This window comes from Homo sapiens, chromosome 19 (assembly GCF_000001405.40).
Source record: "Homo sapiens chromosome 19, GRCh38.p14 Primary Assembly".
In the NCBI taxonomy this organism is placed as follows: Eukaryota; Metazoa; Chordata; class Mammalia; order Primates; family Hominidae; genus Homo; species Homo sapiens.
Window position 1 is genome coordinate 55,889,534 of NC_000019.10, and position 21,728 is coordinate 55,911,261.

At 45.8% G+C, this 21,728-nt stretch overlaps 1 protein-coding gene across 2 annotated transcripts in view; it reads right to left on the reverse strand.

The window, feature by feature from the left end:
- NLRP13 (NLR family pyrin domain containing 13) overlaps positions 2,159-21,728 on the reverse strand; it is a 40,645-nt gene continuing 21,075 nt past the window's right edge. Inside the window, exons 6-12 of one of the 2 annotated variants that reach the window (NM_001321057.1) lie at positions 21,030-21,200; positions 18,259-18,423; positions 15,409-15,579; positions 12,502-12,672; positions 9,237-9,404; positions 6,459-6,586; positions 2,159-2,588 (exon numbers count right to left, since the gene is read on the reverse strand). In NM_001321057.1, coding sequence (NP_001307986.1) covers positions 2,563-2,588; positions 6,459-6,586; positions 9,237-9,404; positions 12,502-12,672; positions 15,409-15,579; positions 18,259-18,423; positions 21,030-21,200 — 1,000 coding nt within the window. In that variant the 3' untranslated portion in view covers positions 2,159-2,562. Of the gene's footprint in view, positions 2,589-6,411; positions 6,587-9,236; positions 9,405-12,501; positions 12,673-15,408; positions 15,580-18,258; positions 18,424-21,029; positions 21,201-21,728 lie in introns of those variants that run through there. The other variant, NM_176810.2, reaches the window with a different exon arrangement.

Below are 21,728 nucleotides of genomic sequence, written 5' to 3' on the forward strand. Positions count from 1 at the left end.
AAGTCTCACAGCTTTGGGTGCCATAAAGGGTCCATGATAGATGACTGTACCTGCTGTAGACTGGATTAAGAGAAGCATGCTGAGCTTAGGGAATCTGCCGATTTTCAATAAGCAGAACAAGCCTGCTTTTTGTCTGGGGTAGAAAGTTACCTTATCCCTCAAGTTTGCTCAGTGCAAACACAACCTGGCAAAAGTCCTTGGCAAAAAAACAAAAATTAAAAAAAAGAAATTTAAAAGTCAGGGTCCAACATTTTATGCATACCCATAAAGAATGTACAGGGGTGCTTAGGGCCCATGATAAACAGCCTCTTGCTATAGTATATCAGTGAGAATGGAATCTACAGATTAATCTCTGGTTAGAGTCAGTCAGGAAGATATGAAGTGGTTGTTGAAGAGGCAAATGCCAATTAAAAGTGAAACTACTAGGCCAGGCATGGTGGCTCACGCCTGTAAACCCAGCAGTTTGGGAAGCCGAGGCGGGTAGATCACAAGGTCAAGAGATCGAGACCATTTTGGCCAACAGGGTGAAACCCCATCTCTACTAAAAATACAAAAAGTAGCCGGGTGTGGTGGCGCATGCCTGTAGTCCCAGCTACTCGGGAGGCTGAGGCAGGAGAATTGCTTGAACTCAGGAGGCGGAGGTTGCAGTGAGCCGAGATCGCACCACTGCACTCCAGCCTGAGCGACAGAGCGAGAGTGTCTTAAAAAAAAAAAAAAAAAAAAAAAAAAACTACAAAATAGTTGGAATTTCTGGAGTTTGAGCATGAAGGAGGCTTAGATACGGCAGAAGATACTGTCGTTGAAGATGCAGTCACACAGGGATGTCCGATCTTTTGGTTTCCCTGGGCCACGTTGGAAGAATTGTCTTGGGCCACACACTAATGCTGGCTGATGAGCTAAAAAAAAAAAAAAAAACAAAAACAAAACAAACAAAAAAAAAGTCTATGCATACGAAAGTTTATGAATTTGTGTTGGGACCTCATTAAAAGTGGGCCCAGGCTGTGGGTTGGACAAGCATGGAGATTAAAATTAGGTGTAAGGAATATAGGCTGAACATCCCAAATCCAAAAATCCAGAATCTAGAATGTTCCTTTTGAACGCTGAGACGATGCTCATAGGAAATGTTTACTGGAACGTTTCCGAATTCAGAATTTTAGATTTTGTGTGTCCAGCCAGTAAGTATAATGCAAATATTCCAAAGTCTGAAAAAAATGCAAAGTCCATGCATTTCGGATAAGGGATACTCAACTTGTACCACCGGAGGGGCTGACGGGGGGCCAGGAGCTAAAGTCTTTTAACTGAAGTCTAATTTGGCAGTCCGGAAGTGGCTCGAAGAACAAGGGGTCTAAATCTAAAGACACGAGGATAGAGGCTGAGAGGGAGACAGAGGGGTGAAGAGAATGGTCGCAGAGCAGAAGGTGAGGAAGAGACCACCCACCCGATTAACTGCTAGGCTCCCGAGACAAGACAACCACGCCCGAAAGAGCTGCAAGAGAAGCAATGTCCTCAGAGGAGATGCAGGTTTCAGAGAGAGGGAGATTAAAGGGACCGTTTCAACCTATTCTCTAAATATAGGTTTGCTGGTTTCCAAAGAGCACAGTGAGAAGGTTTCGGGTGAAGAAGGGCAGGAGATGGAATAAACTCAGAAAAGTACATCGTAATGAAGAGTGGGAGATAGGAATCAATCCAGGCCAGGTGCGGTGGCTCACACCTGTAATCCCAACACTTCGGGAGGCCGAGGCAGGTGGATCACTTGAGGCCAGGAGTTCAAAACCGGCCTGGAAAACATGGTGAAACCCCATGTCTACTAAAAATACAAAAGTTAGCCAGGCCTGGTGGTACATGCCTGTAATCCCAGCTACTTGGGAGGCTGAGGCAGAAGAACCACTTGAACTCGAGAGGTGGAGGTTGCAGTGAGCTGAGATGGTGCCACTACGCTCCAGCCTGGGTGACAGAGTGAGACCCTGTCTCAAAAAAAAAAAAAATCAATGCAGAGTCTAATATTTCTTGGGGGAGTCAATATAAGTGAAGATAAAGGCATATTAGGAGTTCTGGATGTCTATGTGGTTTAATCACAGTATAATAATTATGGAATTATAAACACATCGATCCCACTTCTCAATCCATGAGAAATGAGGCTTTGGACTTTCCTGAGGTATTTTTATATGCTTTGCTTTATTGAATTCTCTCAACACCTCCAAGAATTAAAAACATTACACCAAGGAGGACATAGACAAGACTGAAGGCACAGCCAACTTATGATCTTGGTACCAGACACAGTATTACACTAGGATTCCAGACCTGGGCGTGCAATGGGCGGCCTCCAACAACCGTGACAAAGCCTCCTGCAGGGAACAGCTCATTTGTCCCCACAAATGGTGACATTGGAGCGACACACAGGCCAGGATGTCCTGGTGGCTTTCCCCCAAGATCCATGGTCAAGCCACGTGGCATCTAATCCGTGGGATCACCACCACCACTTGTCTTCAAGGTCATTAAAATCCCACGCACACTTGAGTTTCAGACAGAGCTCCTTCTGTGAGGTCTGTATCTCCTCTCTCACTACATTGTGCAGGTCTTTTTGAAGCCTGCAAAATAAGAAGTACTGAAGTTTAGAAGCAGTGAAGAAGTTTAGAAGTAATTTTTAATTTTTAAGGTTCAGGGGAACACGTACAGGTTTGTTACATGGGTCTACTGTGTGGCATGAAGTTTGGTGTGTGAATGATCCCATCACCCAGGTAGTGAGTATAGCACCTGAAAGTACTTTAACCCTTGCCTCCTTCCTACTCTCCTCCTCCTAGTAGTCCCGTGTCTTGTCAACAAATATATGTGTATATATGTATATACACACACATACACACACACATATTCATATACATACACACATACACATATACGTATTGTTTGAGACGCAGTGTCACTTTGTCACCCAGGCTGGAGTGCAGTGGCGTGATCTCGGCTCACTGCACCCTCCACCTCCTGGGCCCCAGCGATTCTCCTGCCTTAGGCTCCTGAATAGCTGGGATTATAGGCGCACACCACCACGCCGGCTAATTTTTGTATTTTTAGTAGAGATGGGGTTTCACCATGTTGGCCAGGCTGGTCTCGAACTCCTGACCTCAGGTGATCTGCCCACCTCGGCCTCCCAAAGTGCTGGAATTAGAGGCATGAGCCACCATGCCTGGCCTACTGTCACCATCTTTAAATCCACATGTACTGATTGTTTAGCTCCAACTTGTGAGAACATGTGGTATGTGGTTTTCTGTTCCTGCATTAGTTCACTTAGGCTAATAGCCCTCAGCTGCGTCCATGTTGCCACAAAGGACATGGTTTCATTCCTTTTTAGAGCAGTGTAGTACTCCATGGTGTATGTGGACCACATGCATGTGTGTGTTCCTCACAGCACTGTTCACAATAGCATTGACATGGAACCAACCTAGGTGCTCATCAACAGCAGACTGGATGGAAGCAGTGAAGTACAGGCAGGGTGCAGTGTAAAGTGGCAAACTGATATAAAGCATAATAAAGGTTTAGACAAAAGTAATTGCCATTTTTGCCATTAAAAGTAATGGCGGCCAGGCATGGTGGCTCACACCTGTAATCCCAGCACTTTGGGAGGCTGAGGCAGGTGAATTACCTGAGGTCGGCAGTTCTAGACCAGCCTGACCAACATGGAGAAACCCCATCTCTACTAAAAATACCAAGTTAGCTGGGTGTGGTGGCACGTGCCTGTAATCCAGGCTACTCGGGAGGCTGAGGCAAGAGAATCGCTTGAACCTGGGAGGCGGAGGGTGCGGTGAGCCGAGATCACGCCATTGCACTCCTGTGTGGGCAACAAGAGTGAAACTCCATCTCAAAAAAAAAGTAATGGCAAAAACCATTACTTTAAAACCACTGCATTAAAAGTAATAGCAAACACAATTACTTTGGCACCTACCTACAGAAAGACTAACAAATGAAGGGTAACTTTTGTTTACCCTTCGACTGGGACCTCCCACCACCCTAGCCTTACCCACAGATGTCAGGGAGAAGATTTGATGGCACGGGAACCCCTTTCCATAGAGAAAAGGCACAACCACAAAGGTAGAGGATGAGAAAACCATGGCGCAGATGACACAAGGGACCTTGTGGGCAGGCCAGAGTAACTCAGGCCATTTTCACTGTGTATGAATAAATCCAAGTACTTCTCATTAATCTGCATCTAGCAATTTTTGAAAAATAAAATCTGAGCGTTCTACAAGAGGAGGCGAGGGTCTGGGCACCCAGTCAGAAGCCCCTTCTGCACACATGCATGATAGACAGCAGAGAAGCTTCATCTTTAACGGTTGCTGTCCCAGAACCCTTTTTAAAATGCACCACTGAAGTGTGAAGTTGGCAACATCAAATCTTTAAAAGGTGCAGATCGTGACTCACTTCCTAAAGTAGGCAAGGTTCCTTGGCATCTGGGATGACTTCTGCTGAGATGTACCAGTAACAGCTGTTAACTGCTTACCTTTCTCCATGCCCCAACTTTTTTTTTTTTTTTTTTTTTGAGACAGGGTCTTGCTCTGTTACCCAGGCTGGAGTGCATGATCATGGCTCACTACAGCCTCAAACTCCTGGGTTCAGGCAGTCTTCCCACCTCAGCCTCCCAAGTTGCTGGGAACACAGGTGTGTGCCACCATGCCAAGCCAATTTTTTAAAATTTTTGTAGAGACAGGATCTGCCTATGTTGCCCATGCTGGTCTTGAACTCCTGGCCTCAAGTGATCCTCCTGCCTTGGCCTCTCAAAGTGCTGGAATTATAGGCATGAGCAACTGCAGCCAACCTGCTTACCTTTCTGATTTCCTCTCAGAATACTGAATGGGGTGGAAAGTGTTCTAATTAAATGCTCTTCTCTCAGTGCCTCAAAGGGGCAACATAAAGCTTGGTGCAACCTCAGGGCCTTTGCACATGCTACTGAAACATCCTCAGTACATTCCACCCTTCATCTCTAGTCACCTCTCATGTTCCCTTCCTGATATAGGGACTCCTCCTTCCAGCCTCCTTGGGACTCAGGATCAATGGTACCGCCTCTGGCAAGCCCCTTGCTATTCTGGTCACCCTCCTGTCTTATCTCAACCCAGAGTTTCTTTCACAGCATTCATGACAACAGAGATTGCTTTTATGTCTCAGACCTGTTATCTCCTGGAGGAGAACTCAAGACTCTCAAGGACAAGGCTCATGTCCGTTTGTTTCCCCCCTGTCTACCATGCCATGGTGCTTGGCCCAGAGTCGGTATTGAAAAAGAAGCCACAAGTTAATGGCTATGGAGTGACACGTACAGTAGGTACAAGAATGATAAACAGAAGCAGGCTCTCAAAATACCCAAAAGTCTCCAGGACTGCACCATCCAGTACGGTAGTCATTAGCGACATGTGGCTGTTAAGATTTAATTAGTAGGTTGATGCAAAAGTAATTGCCATTTTTGCCACTAAAAGTGACAGCAAAAACCATTACTTTAAAACCACTGCATTAAAAGTAATAGCAAACACCAAAATTACTTTGTACCAACCTAATAAAATTAAAAATTTATATTTATATTAAAATAGGCTGGTGGCCAGGAGCAGTGGCTCACGCCTGTAATCGCAGCACTTTGGGAGGCGGGCCAACATGGTGAAACCCCCGTGTCTACTAAAAGTATGTTAAAAAAAAAAAAAAGAAAGAAAAGAAAAAGAAAATTAGCCAGGCGTAGTGGCATGCACCTGTAGTCCCAGCTACTGGGAAGGCTGAGCCAAGAGAATCACTTGAACCAGGATGGGGAGGTTGTAGTGAACTGAGATTGCGCCACTGCACTCCAGCCTGGGTGACAGAGCAAGACTCCATCTCAAAAAAGAAAAGAAAAAACAGTCCGGGCATGGTGGCTCATGCCTGTAATCCCAGCACTTTGAGACGCCGAGGTGGGTGGATCACCTGAGGTCAGGAGTTCAAGACCAGCCTGGCCACTACGGTGAAACCCCCATCTCTACAAAAATACAAAAATTAGCTGGGCGTGGTGGTGGGTGCCTGTAGCTCCAGCTACTCGGGAGGCTGAGGCAGGAAAATTGCTTAAACCCGGGAGGTGGAGGTTGCAGTGAATCAAGATGACACAACTGCACTCTAGCCTGGGTGACAGAGCGAGACACTGTCTCAAAAAAGGTGAAAGAAAAAAGAAAACTACTAATTCAGTTCCCAGTCACACTAACCATGTTTCAAGTGCCCAATGATGAGATGCCGCTCGTGGCTACACAGCAGGTGCACAGCACAGAGATCACTCCCACCCTTACTGGAAGTTCCGTTGGCCTGCATGGCCTGAGGAAGCCGAGTGCAATGGAAACCTGACACATGCTCTAGAAGCCTAGTCAATCTAGCCTTGTCCCTGTATGTTCTCCCCTGCAGAAAAGTCAGTGAGGTTTACCCGAGTTTCTGCAGCCTGCATGTCGACTTTTTCAAAGCCTTACATAGCATCTTGACACCATCAGTATCCAATTCATTGCCTAGAAGGTTCAGATTGACCAGGCTCTTACTGCTGCTGAGAACAGAGAAGAGATGCTGGCAGCAAGCAGTTGTCAGATTGCATTTCGCCAACCTAGGGGCGGGTGGGAAGAAAGCACAACAGATAGTCCTCTGAGACTGGGAAGTTAGAAAAGAGATACCACATCTGCAGGAAAAAAACTATTACTAAAGCAGACTGCTTAAGAGTGGAGCACTTGGCCAGGCACAGTGGCTCACGCCTGTAATCCCAGCACTTTGGGAGGCCGAGGTGGGTAGATCATGAGGTCAAGAGACAGAGACCATCCTGGGCAACATGGTGAAACCCCATTTCTATTAAAATACAAAAATTAGCCAGGCATGTTGGCATGCATCTGTAGTTCCAGGTACTCAGGAGGCTGAGGCAGGAGAATCGCTTGAACCCGGGAGGTGGAGGTTGCAGTGAGCCGAGATCACACCACTGCACTCCAGCCTGGCGACAGCAAGATTCTGTCTCAAAAAAAAAAAAAAAAAGGGCTGGGCGCGGTGGCTCACACCTGTAATCCCAGCACTTAGGGAGGCTGAGGTGGGTGGATCACAAGGTCAGGAGTTCAACACCAGCCTCGACAAGATGGTGAAACCCTGTCTCTACTACAAAAAATACAAAAATTAGCCAGGCGTGGTGGTGGGTGTCTGTAATCCCAGCTGCTTGGGAGGCTGAGGCAGGGAATTGCTTGAGCCCACGGGGTGGAAGTAGCAGTGAGTCAAGATTGCGCCACTGCACTCCAGCCTGGGCGACAGAGCAAGACTCCATCTCACAAAAAAAAAAAAAAAAAAAAAAAAATGGAAAAGAGTGGAGTACTTACTGCATGCCGGGCACCTTTTAAATACTGACATATAACTCATCTAACCCATCTATCAATCTTATCAAAGGTACATACTATTTTAAACTGTATTTGATGGAGGAGGAAACAAAAACTTAACCTGCCAGAATGTGAAACAAACCATTTTAGTATACAAGGGATATGAGTTTATTAGATCTTTGAAAGAACTGAAATAGCACTATTATTCCTTATTTACACTTTTTTCCATCTTATTCTAAATTCAACAATACAAAATTTGAACATAGGGTTGGCTAGCTACTAGAAACACAAAGACAAAAGTGAGAAAATACATTAGATCAGTTTAACACATCAGAGATCTCCACCTGAGTTCATAAATAACTATTACACGCTGGCCAGGCGCAGTGGCTCATGTCAGTAATCCCAACACTTTGGGAGACTGAGGCAGGCAGATCACTTGAGCTTAGGAGTTTGAGACCAGACTGGGCAACATGGTGAAACCTCATTTCCATAATAAATACAAAAAAACAGATGGGTGTGGTAGCGTGCACCTGTTGTCCCAGCTACTCAGGAGGCTGAGGAGGAAGGATTGCTTGAGGTTGCACTGAGCTGAGATCGCACCACTGCACTCCAGCCTGGGTGACAGAGTGAGACCCCATCAAAACAAACAAAAAACCATAAAGCCCTTCTTTTAGAAAGAAAAAAGTCAGAATGAGTCTCTCTAAGGAAATAGTTCAGTAAGTTGCTTCGTTAACTGATTTTTTTGAAGATAAACTTGATTCAGAATGCATTTATGCCAAACTATCTTAAATTTGGCACTGCAGATAACGTTAACCTATTCATGTTTCTTTCAGGCCTATGAGAGAACAAGTCTAGTTTATGTTTAAACCAATAATTTAATGTGTGGTGTCTATATAGTAGATTTAACAATCTCTGAATAGAGGTTTGAGGTGGCTGGTAAACCCCAACAATGCTGGAGGTGGTTTACAATTTGAGTCGGTTCATTTGATACTAACAAATCCTAACACTGTTTCTGAAAACATCACTGAGCTAATGGAACCATTCCCTACATGAGAAATTGCTATCATGTAAGCCACATTTAGCAAAAAATCCTACGGTTCAGAGCAACTCATCTTAGTCTGCTTAGTACACGTTGCATGATGGTTAACAACGGTGAAGTGAAGATTCACAGTGGGGAGCAGGCTGCGCTCCCCTCAACTTCCCAGCACCTGGCACCCACCATGGGCAGATTGGGAGAGACAATATTTTCAATGTACCAAGGATGGTGGTAACAAGAGTAAAACACTTCTCTAAACGTGAAAAACTTCAAGCTTATCATCTAGCAGGAGAGTTTTTGTTTTTGTTTTTGTTTTTTTTTTTTTTGAGATGGAGTTTCGCTCTTGTCTCCCAGGCTGGAGTGCAATGGCACAATCTCAGCTCACTGCAACCTCTACCTCCCGGGTTCAAGCGATTCTCCTGCCTCAGCCTCCTGAGTAGCTGGGACTACAGATGCCCACCTATACACCCAGCTAATTTTCGTATTTTTAGTAGAGATGGGGTTTCCCCATGTTGGCCAGGCTTGTCTTGAGCTCCTGACCTCAGGTGATCCGCCCACCTCGACCTCCCCAAATGCTGGGATTACAGGTGTGAGCCACTGCTCCCAGCTAATTTTTGTATTTTTAGTAGAGACGGGGTTTCCCCATGTTGGTCAGGCTGCTCTCGAACTCCTGACCTCAGGTGATCCACCCACCTTGGCCTCCCAAAGTGCTGGGGTTACGGGCGTGAGCCACCACACCTGGGTGAGATTTCTTAGATGGCTTGTCCTTACTTTGCCTCACTTTCTAACCCCCGATGGGATCCGATCATATCTCCCCACCCGCAAGAGTAGAGAAGGAAGACTCTGCAAGGAGAACAGCATCAACTCACCCAAGTGTGTGCAATGCACGATGTGGTTTCAGAGCCTCACACAGTAGCTTCACTCCATCATCCTGAAGATCATTTTCTCCCAAATCCAAGATTTTCACATTATGATTATGGCTGAGGGCATTAGCCAGCTCTCCACAGCCCTCTCTTGTGAAAGAACAACCTGACAAACTGCAAAATAAAAACATACAAAAGGGGGGAAAGTAATTGCGTCCCGAAGCTGTGCTGTGTTTACAACTGCCCATCTCACGTCCAAGGAAAGGAGACACCCTGAAGCCAGACTTTTGTCCCAAGCCTCGAAGGAGGAGGGTGCGAGTCAGGAGGGCCGAGACACCTCCAGGTGCTCTATTTACCTGAGATAGAAAGCCGAGGGCACAGCAACACAGCCCTCTCCCTCCCACGCCCCCCGCAGGTGCATGAACGTGAAGGGCCTCTCTGTGGTGGTTACCCCCCAGCACCCAGAGTTGGCTTGGCTATCACAGTGCACGATTCTCAGCCTTCAAGCTCGACAGTTGAGCTGAAGATACCAGGAATCTCCCATAACGGCAGGTCTGAATTTCCCAGAATAAATTACTATACCATAATAAGTTCAAAATAGTTAATCCAGGTGACTATTTGGAGAAAATATGGGTTGAGGTGGGGAGGGATGAGGAGAGGAAAGACAAGGAAGCGACAGGAGGAGAAAGAGTCATCCAAAATCCTTAAACCCACCCCCCCCATCCCAAAAAGGTTTGGCCGGGCACGGTGGCTCACGCCTGTAATCCCAGCACTTTGGGAGGCTGAGGCGGGTGGATCATGAGGTCAGGAGTTCGAGACCAGCCTGCCCAACATGGTGAAACCCCATCTCTACTAAAAATACAAGAATTATCCAGGCGTGGTGGCGGGTGCCTGCAATCCCAGCTACTTGGGAGGCTGAGGCAGGAGAATAGCTTAAACCCGGGAGGTGGAGGTTGCAGTGAGCCGAGATTGCACCATTGTACTCCAGCCTGGGCGACAGAGCAAGAGTCTGTTTAAAAAAAATTTTGACTACGTGAAGAACGTCCATATGGCTAACCCATCAAAGGCCAAGTGTAAGAGAACTGCCAGGCTGATAAATGATACATGCAAATCAAAGACAGTCAGATTTCCCTAGAGTTTAGACATGGTGGTCAAAGGGTACAAAAATCTCAGCAGGAATATAATTGTTGTTTTTTTTTTTTTTTGAGATCTATTCCATGGCATGGCAAACATACTTAATAGAACATTGTACCTTTCAAAATTGCTAACATAATAAATTTCAAATATTGTCACCACAAAAAATTGTTAAGTATTTGAGGTGATGGACACATTAACTAACTTAATTATTCCACATTGTATTCATAAAGTTTGTACCCCCAAAACATATACAGATGGTAAATTTACAATAAAACGATTAAAGTTTTAAAAACAAGAAAGAATTCCCTACAAGTGACGAGGGGAAAAACAAAATGAAACAGGTTAAAAAAAAAATCAGCAAATTTTATCAACAGGTTTTTTTAATCTGGAAGTTTTTATCAATGGTTGTCAGCATTTGAAAACATACTCAACTTCATTCTTATAAATGCAGATGCAAATATAAAACTACTTTGTGTTTACAAAGGAAGAGGTATGACCCACGGGATGGGCCTCAAAATAATCTTAGAGGGAGAAATTAGTTCAACCATTGTGGAAGACAGTGTGACGATTCCTCGAGAATCTAGAACCAGGCCAGGCGCGGTGGCTCACGCCTGTAATCCCAGCACTTTGGGAGGCCAAGGCGGGTGGATCACGAGGTCAGGAGATTGAGACCATCCTGGCTAACATGGTGAAACCCCATCTGTACTAAAAAAAAAATACAAAAAATTAGCCGGGCATGGTGGCGGGCACCCGTAGTCCCAGCTACACGGGAGGCTGAGACAGGAGAATGACGTGAACCCAGGAGGCTGAGCTTGCAGTGAGCTGAGATCACACCACTGCACTCCAGCCTGAGTGACAGAACAAGACTCCATCTTAAAAAAAAAAAAAAAATCTAGAACCAGGAATCCCATTTGACCCAGCAATCCCATTACTGAGTGTTGGTGAAGCTTTAGATGAAAGGAGATAGGCCATAAATCAATAATTGTTGAAGTTCGAGCATGGATTGTAATATATGCTCTTCTCTCTAAAGTTTCAAAATCCCCTGGAAGAATAACAAATCCCTTGACCGGCCAGGCACAGTGGCTCACGTCTTGGTACATGCTAGACCGCACATAACCAGCACTCAGTAAAAACTCTGGGCTCAGGGTCTCTAATGGGCTGCCCTGGTAGACCACACTTGGCATGATTGCCACAGCTGGTGGCTGGAGGAATTGTGTGTCCTGTGTGATGTTGGAGAGCAAGCTTGGAGTCTTAAGGAAAAGACGAGCACTCAGACAAAAGATTTCTCAGCAAAGCAAATTTACCTCTGCACAGAGGAGTGCTTCTCTTTGGCCCGTCGCCACGAGAGCACATAGAACAAAGGAGAATGAAAGTTTTTATCCCTGATGCAAATCCTGACCCCGTGCCCTTTCCCCATTGGCTGGGGTCGGACCACACAATCTCAACTAGACCTGATTGGCTAAACGTTTGAACTTTTTCTTAGATAATGTGGGCACTTAAGGGAGAGAAGGGAGAGTAAGGGAGAGAGGGGAGAGGGGGAAAAGTCGTCTGCGATGAGCTGGAGAGCTAGTTTTCTTCCCAAATAAGGAAAGGAAGGTGAGCTAATACTGATAAGCCACTGGTGCTGTTAGCATGCCTGGGCACGTAGTAAAGGCAGAAAGAAAGAGAAGGAAAGGGAAGGGGAGCGGTACTGTGGATTGAAGAAGAAAGGATTGATCAGGCTATTTGAAGAGAAACCTTGTCATATCCCACATGTGATTGCACGGGGAGAGGGCTCCTGGGAGCTTATGTCTGGTTTCCTCTGGACTCTGTCCCAAGCCCCTTTCCCTTTGCTGATCTGCCTTGTGTCCTTTCACCCTGATGAAGTGTAGCATGAATACGACTATGGGCTGGATCCCGAGTCCTCCCAGTGAAACATCAAACCCGGGGGCTGGTCTCGAGGTCCCCCAGACACACACACATTCACGGTCCTCCCACTTTCCCCATCCCACACCCCCGACAAAACCAGAAGCTCCTCCATGGCAAAGAGCTTGTCCACGCCTCATTCAAACCCCATCAGGAACTCAGGCATTGGTGGGTCAATTCCCATGGCTCTCCTCCATCTGCCAACTCAGAGGGAGCCAAGAAAACTTACTTCAGGCTCTGCAGGTTACCATCTGGGCGACCCAAGGCCTCACACAGGAACTTGACTCCCTCGTCTCTCAGGCTGTTCTTGCTCAGATTCAGGTGTGTCAGGCTCCTGTTCTGCAGGAGAGCATCTGACAAGTGCTTGCAAGCGGGTGCTGCCAGCTGGCAAAACCAGAGCCTGCAGGGTGAAAGCCACAGAGATGGACACTCAGGGAAGCAGCCCAGACCCAGGCTCCTGGAACAGAGCCTCAGGGCCCCCTCCGAGCCTACACATGCAGCAGCTCCCTGGACGACAAGGTCTTTCTTTTTAGCTGGACACCGACCCAGGCTATGGCAGTATCTTGCATACCATAACCCTCCCTCGATCCAGATTTCTACAGTGAGTACACCAAGTCTGTGGTTCTCATTAGTGACTGGTTTAGGAAAAAATAAAGAAAAAAAAAACTTTCAAGGCTCCAAGGCTCTGGAGCCAGTTGGGCGTGGGTCCAAATGGGCTTGTCTGTCAGCAGCTGGGTGACCCTCAACAAGCTCCCGCACTCCTTTCAGCCTTCATTGCCTTCCATTCTGAAGTGCAGTAGGATGGTCTGGCAGAGAGCTGCCAGTGAGCCCACGAGCAGTGCATGTGCTTGGGACAGCACTTGGCAAACAGGCAGTGTACAGGTTATAGAAGATTATTATATCACAAATAGAGATGGCATATATTAGATATGCATGTATTGCATAATATGTGTTAACATATAAGTTTTATGAAAATATATGTAGTTACATAATAGTATATCGTTAATATATTAAATATTAACTATATATTACATACATATATTGCATAATACATATATCATAATGTAAATATATAATGAAATATATGTTACAATTATACATGTATATATGTATAATTACAATCAATTACATTATAAATTATAACAACTAATTGTTATAATATATAAATAACTGTAATATTAGTCATAATTATATAATTACAATTATAATTGGTTAAAATTACAACCTATATGTATATGATGTTACAATGTGTAGAATTATAACAGTTATAATTATACTAATTATTAGGGCTATAATAGAGTTGTAATAATATATTAGGGTTGTAATACTAATTATAATTAGTTATAATGGTGTTACAATTCTACACATTGTATCATGATCATACACGTATAATTACACACGTATGATTAACTCACATTATGTGTGTGAATCACCTATCGATAATCCCATTCTTGGAGACTCAGTGCCGAATGAGCAGTGAACTGGCAAAGGAGCAGAGGGCCAGAGTCTGTGGTTCTCCGGGATAATCAACTTGGTGACACCTAAAGGTCCTTGGCCTTTTCTGTGCTTTTTATACTCACCTGACAATTGTCCAGTCTCAGGAAAACCCACCTTTCCCTCTATTCCACACCTGCACCAGAGCAGCACGATGCAGCTAGAGAAGAGGAGACCTAAAGAATCTCTTTGTGCGTCCACCACTGTACGGGGTCTCTCATTCCCACAAGGCAATCTTCTAGATTCCCGCAGTCCTGCCTACAACGGCTCACGTAACATCTCTGAATGGCATCTCAAGCTCCTATACCCCCAACCCAAACTCTTCTTACCCAGACCCTGCTCTGCCCCCAATCTTCCCTGCATTGGAGAATGGTCCCACCCTTTACCTAGCTGCCAACCTCACCCTCTGGGAGGTGTTCTTGGTACCCTCCCTCCTAAACCACCTCGAATCCATTGGCAAACCCCATTGGCTCTACCTTCCGATCTATCCTGAAATCCTATAACCTCCCCATGGGCCACTCCCTCCTGGTCAATAGGAGCCCTATCTCTTGCTCATACTGGTATTTTTGTCCGGACTGTAGTCCACCTGTCCACAGCAGCCTGCATGATCTTTCAAAGTACGTCAGATTAAGGTAACATCCCACTTCCAATCCAAGGATGACTTTCCATCTCACTCAAGACAAAACAGATTCCTACACAGCCCAGCATATCCCAGGCACTGCCATCTCCTACCACTATCACCCTCACTCTACTCCAACCATGCTAGCTTCCTCATTGTTCCTCCAACATGCTGTGCTTATTCCAACCTTTTGAGATGGAGTCTCACTCTGTCATCCGGGCTGGAGTGTAGTGGCACGATCTCAGCTCACTGAAACCTTCACCTCCTGGGTTCTAGCGATTCTCCTGCCTCTGCCTCCTGAGTGGCTGGGATTATAGGCACCATGCCCGACTAATTTTTTGTGTATCTTTAGTAGAGATGGGGTTTTGCCATGTTGGTCAGGCTGGTCTCAAAATTCCTGACCTCGTGATCTGCCCGCCTCAGCCTCCCAAAGTGCTGGGATTACAGGTGTGAGCCACCTTGCCCAGCCCAACCTCAGGCCTTTCACTCTGCTGTTCCTTCTCCGCATACGGCTGCCTCCCCCTTGCTTCATCTGAGTCTCTATTTAAGTATCACCTGTTCAAATAGGTTAGTGAGAGAAGACCCTGCTGGGAAATCAACCCCATCCCTGTCATTCTACTCTCGTTCTACTTTGTTTTTCTTCATATCTATTGTTTTGTTTTTATATGTCACTCATAAAACTATACCTTCCACATGGGCAGGAAGTAAATCTGTCATATCTACCACCCCAGCCTTGAGGCCTTGTTCTATCTCTGCTAGAAGCTCACATATGAGTTGACCAAAAAATTCATTACTTCCTGGGGTCCTCGTGGAAATTAAGTTTCTTGGCAAAAGCTCCAGAGACGGGATCAACAAATCCAGGATGCTACTCTGAATCTGTTTTAGAGCAATTCCTGGCACATAGTAATTACTCAATGAATGTTACTTTTTAATAATATAAATAGATATCAAATGAAGAAACCATTGTTCTAGATATCTGTGCCCATAGAGTCATATCTAGAAATGGAAGTAGGGAAAACTTACTCCAGTCTCTCTAAGGCACACTTGGGGTGAGTCAGGGCCGCACACAATAGCTTTATGCCATCATCTTGGAGCCGATTAAATCCCAGGCACAATCGAGTTACGTGTTGGATGCTGGTGAGAAACAAGGCTAGGTCCTGACAGCTGGCTGCCGACAAGTTGCATTTCTCCAGGCTGTGGAAGGTGCAGGTGCAAGGTGAGCCTCAGCCATGATGCCCAGGTTCCTCTACCTTTCTCTCTCAACCCCTTAACCCCCGAGACCCAAACATTATGGGAAGATTAAATTGGAGAAAGAACAAAAGCTTAAAGAAGGAGAAAAAGGGCCAGGCGCAGTGGCTGACGCCTGTAATCCCAGCAGTTTGGGAGGCCAAGGCGGGTGGATCACCTGAGGTCAAGAGTTCGAGAGCAGCCTGGCCAACATGGAGAAACCTCATCTCCACTAAAGAAAATACATATATATATACATACATATATATACACGTATATATACACACACATATATATGTATATATATACATATATACACACATATATACATATATATATACACACATATATACATATATATCTGGGCATGGTGGTGTGCACCTGTAGTCCCAGCTACTCAGAAAGGCTGAGGCAGGAGAATTGCTTGAACCCAAGAGGCAGAGGTTGTGGTGAGCCAAGAGTGCGCCACTGTACTCCAGCCTGGGTGACAGAGGGAGACTCCATCTCAAAGAGAAAAAGGTGAGGCAAGGTAGGGTTTTCTCAGCCCTATTGAGGTGTGGGCTGGATTGCACTTAGTTGCAGAATGAGAGGACTGCCCTGTGCATTACAGGATGTCAATAATAACTGACCTTTACCCACTAGGTGTTACCCACTAGTAGCAACCCCTACACCATCAGGACAACCAAATATGTTGTCCAGGCATTGCCAAATGTCCCCTGGGGGACAAAAATCAAATCATCCCCAGTTTCAACTAATTTAATAGAATCCAGTTGAAAACCCCTGGATTTGGGGAGAATCAAAGAAGCCTAAGGAAATTATGCAAAGAAAGGCTGCCGTGTGAGATAGCCATGATCAAAGTGAGGGGAAAACTGGCTGGAACTGAGACCTAAGGTGGTAGGAAGAAAGAAGAGGCCAGGCGTGGTGGCTCACGCCTGGAATCCCAGCACCTTGGGAGGCCAAGGCGAGTGGATCACCTGAGTTCAGGAGTTCGAGACCAGCCTGTCCAACATGGTGAAACCCCATCTGTACTAAAATTACAAAAATTAGCTAGGGATGGTGGTGTGTGACTGTAATTCCAGCTATTCTGGAGGCTGAGGCAGGAGAATTGCTTGAACCCAGGAGGTGGAGGTTACAGTGAGCCGAGATCGTGCCACCATACTCCAGCCTGGGTGACAGAGTGAGACTCCATCTCAAAAAAAAAAAAAAAAAGACAGATGATAGACAGACAGACAGAAAGAAAGACAGAAAGATAGAAAATAAGTATGTCAATGTGATAAGTAAATGCAGTAGGGGGATCCCTAAGGTTCCCCAAAACCTACCCACTGCCACCCCCACTGTGCCACTCCAGCTTGCAAAGAAGATGCTTTGAGAAGGCCGCAAGACTTACGACAGCTCCTTCAGGGGACACGTTGGTAGCGTGGAGGACTCCCTCAGGCTTCTCACATCAGAGAGATCATTGTCTCCCAGGCTGAGGAAGTTGAGACTTGTGTTCTCAGTGAGTTTGAGAAAGAGCTGACAAATCTGGTAGGTAAGGCCACAGGACTCCAACCTATCACAGAGGCCCCGAGACAGACCGTTACTCTTTGAAAGAGTGATCTGTGTTTACAGACCCCCCCCTGCTCCATGAATGAAAGCTGACTTTCTCCCTCTTCCCCATCCCTTTCAGAGGTTGGATGGCCCGCATGTCAACGCTACTCAAAGCATGGTCCATGATCCAGCAAGAGCAGCATGACGTGGTAGCCTGTTAGAAGTGCTCATTCTTAGGTCCCACCCCAAATGTGCAGGATCTCTGCAGTTGAGTTCCTGGGATCTGTATTATTATTTTTTTTTTTGAGTTAGAGTCTTGCTCTGTTGCCCAGGCTGGAGTGCAGTGTCACAATCTTGGCTCACTGCAACCTCCGCTCCCGGGTTCAAGCGAGTCTCCTGCCTCAACCTCCTGAGTAGCTGAGATTACAGGCATGTGCCACCACACCCGGCTAATTTTTGTATTTTTTAGTAGAGACGGGGTTTCACCGTGTTGGTCAGGCTGGTCTCGAACTCCTGACCTCATGATTTGCCCCACTCCACCACCCAAAGTGCCGGGATTACAGGCATGAGCCACCACACCTGGCCTGGAATCTGTATTTTAAAACACCCACTAGGTTGGGCCGGGCACATTGACTCACGCCTGTAATCCCAGCACTCAAGAGGCCGAGGCAAGCAGATTGCTTGAGTCCAGGAGTTCAAGACCAGCCTGGGAAACATGGCAAAACCCCATTTCTACAAAAAGTACAAAAATTCACTGGGTGTGGTGGCACACACCTGTGGGTACCAGCCACTCGGGGGCTGCAGTGGGAGGACTGCTTGAGCCAAGGAGGCAGTGGTTGCAGCAAGCAGAGATCACGTCATTGCACTCCAGCCCGGGGAACAGAGTGAGACCCTGTCTCAAAAACAAAACAAAATAAAAAATAACCTCCCCCAAGGTGAGGCTAATATACATTAAAATTTGAGAACCACGGCTCTACACATAGGAACATTCTCCTTTGCTCATCCTTCTCTGTCTCCTTTTGCTACAAGGCTGAGTGCTGTCAGCCCTCCCAGTGGATCGTGGAAGCTACTGGTGGTCTTGCAACCCCCCTTGACAGATCTAGGGAGCCAAAGACTTACCACAGATACTTGAGGTTGCAAGCTGAGTGTCTCAAAGCTTTAAGAATCAGGGGGACAGTCATTCCCAGCTTGTTAGAGCTGAAGTTCAGATGGGTCAGCTTGCTGTTACCCTGAAGGGCAATAATGAGGTCCTGCAGAACCCACTCAGGAGTTACCGATTTGCACCTGAGGAAGGGAAGGGACATGAAAGCTGGATTGGGGGAGAAGACTGGTTTCCAGGATCCCGTCTGCCTCCTCACCCTGCCTTCTACTACACTCACTGCCAAGGTTATACACGGTACACAAGGAATTAAAAACAAGGGCTGAGCCATGGTACTGGACCTTGAAAATAAAAACTAAAATATACTCCCCCCAAAAAAATCAGTAAACTCAGTTGCAGGTACGAAGTCAGGGATCCCTCCTTCCCTCTCCACCTCTCCTAGAGACCTGCCATGAAGAGGTCCTGGGGCCACCTATTCTTCTAGGAAATGACCCCCCCATATACACATACAATCCAACCTAGAAAAGCCCAGCAATAACTCTCTTGCATTTTCTGAACTTCTTTCTCCTTATCTTGAGAACTAAGTACGACCAAAAGTTTAATATTAAAAGAAAAATTTAAAAAGAAGACTGCCCAATCCCATTACTGGGTATATGCCCAAAGGAACGTAAATCGTTCTATTATAAAGACATATGCACACGTACGTTCATTGCAGCACTATTCACAATAGCAAAGACAGGAAATCAACCTAAATTCTCATCAATGATGGACCAAACAAAGAAAATGTGGCACCTATACACCATGGAATACTATGCAGCCATAAAAAAAGAATGAGATCATGTCCTTTACAAGAACATGGATGGAGCTGGAGGCCATCATCCTTAGGAAGCTAATGCAGGAACAGAAAACAAAATACCACATGTCCTCACTTATAAGTGGGAGCTAAATGATGAGAACACATGGACACATAGTGAGGAACACTGGGGCCTGTTGGAAGGTGAAGAGTGGGAAAAGGCAGAGGATCAGGAAAAATAACTAATGGGTACTGGGATTAATATCTGGGTGATGAAATAATCTGTACAACAAACCCCATGACACACATTTACCTAGTGACATACACTTGTACCCCTGAACTTAAATGTATTTTAAAAAAATAAATGAAGGCCACAGCCCCCTCTGCCTGCCTCTCATGAGTTTGGTCCAGCTCACCCAATACACTGAGGTTTGAGGAAAGTTACGATCAAACCTTTCACTCTTAACTGGTTGAATCAATGCACACATCTAGGCTTTAGACCTTGAAAAGTAAGACCTAATGGTGGGGGAAAAGCAAGGTAGAATTCATTGGCCTAGACACCAGATCATTCAAACAAATCCCACCTCAGATTCAAAGCTACGCATTACTCTCTCCTCTATAGTTCCCCCCCGGCTTAATTGTTATACAAGGTCCACCTCCATTTGCTAATTCCTTCCTATCTTCAAGCCAGATCTGAGACACTGTCATTCATTCCTCCTTGGATCATATTAGCAGGGGACCAATACGCTTTAGTCCACAGCTGTGCTCCAGCTCCAGAGAGGACCCTCCCCCTGCTCACCTTTATTTTAAGAGGTTCTATTTTTAATTCACATACTTTTTCCCTTTTCTGCAGCTCATGTTTCTCCCTAATTCATCCCAGGACAAGCCTAGGAAACCCTGGTGTTGCCTCCAAGAGGAAAGACATACACATCAAATGCAGCAGTATGCTGATAAATATTACCACTGGATCTCCAGGAAAAAAAAAAAAAGTCCTAATTTATAGCTTTGCCAATTTCTGTGGTGTAAATTCTCCAAGCCAATCATGGCCAATTTCGATCTGCCCACTTGCTGTCACTAAATGGAGTTACAAAGATAGGTACACACACACAAGTGGCTCTCACCAGGTTGTAGCAGCTGGCTCCAACATGTCACTGGACAGAAATACATGTCCAGAATTGGTAATAGAAGGCCTGATGGCTTTGTTGATATCATTTGAATATACTAAGTACATTCTCCTCATGGTGCCTTCTATCTCGTTTTCTTGGCTTGGAATGCTCTTTTTCCCCAGGTATCCATGGGCACAGTCCCTCCTCCTTCCCTACACTGAGTCAAGTCGGTCTTTACCCAAATACCTTTTCAGTGAGGCCCTTCTGCCTTTCCTACCTAAAAAATGCAAGCCACCTTCCTCCTCATACATCCTTTCTGAGCCCCCAGTTTTCTTTGGGAGATGCCACCCTCTTGGGTCCTATTTTGATGATTTTGTTTGCTTCCCTGACACAATGTAAGATCCCTGATGGCAGGAGTTATCTGTGGGCTTCACTGCTAGAACCTCAGAACTGAGAACAGAACCTGGCACACAGGAGATGTCCAATACTCACTGAATGCAGGAGTACCCATCAAACACTACCTACTTTTGCTTAAGACACGAAGCAGTCTCAGACTACACGTGTCTGTAGCTCTTCTTGAGTGCTTTGAGTCCACCATACCCTCGAAGTTTTCTACTCCTTCAAATCCAGCTCAAAACAGGACTGAGGCCCTAGGGAAAAATTACTTTGTCCACAGGTGCCTCTAATGCGAGATCATTCTTGATAGATCGGCATTTTAAAATTTCAGCCTACTTTGCCCAAGTAGCAGTTTCATAAATACAAGCACAGTTTATTTTATCCTCCTGAGCACGTAGCTTGCCTTCTGGCAAATAGTCAACCACACTCATCAAAAGAGAGAAGTTGGGAGATTCTCCTAGGGTATCTTCTTGAGCTGCTGGCGTCTCACACTTACGTCAGTTTCTGGACTTTGCATCTTGGATTTTTCAGTGCAAGACAGAGACCCTTCACAGAGGAAGCATGAAGTTTGCTGTTACTCAGGTCTAGCTCATGCAGATTCTCATTTGTGACCAACGTAGAGCAAATGCTGTTCCATGCGTGCATCCTGGAATCAAACTTGCTTGTCCTTCATGAGGGAGAGACAGAACACGGATAAGAGCAAATTAGCCTCAAGCAATACCCAGAATACAACCTACGGGACACAGAAAGAAACCCTAACAAAATTATTATAATTTTCCTAATGTGGCTGGGTGCAGTGGCTCACGCCTGTAATCCCACCACTTTGGGAGACCGTCGGGAGTTTGAGACCACCATGGCCAACATGGTGAAGCCCCGTCTGTACTAAAAATACAAAATTAGCCAGGTGTAGTGGTGCATGCCTGTAATCCCAGCTACTCAGGAGGCTGAGGCAGGAGAATAGCTTCAACCTGGGAACCTACATCTGTCAGGGTGTGGGGGTTGCAAGACCACCCCTAGCTTCCATGATCCACTGGGAGGGCTGACAGCTCTCAGCATTGTAGCAGATGGAGACAGAGAAAGATGAGCAAAGGAAAATGTCCCTATGTTAGAGCCATGGTTCCCAAATATTAATGTATATCAGCCTCACCTTGGGGGAGGTTATTTTTTATTTTGTTTTGTTTTTGAGACAGGGTCT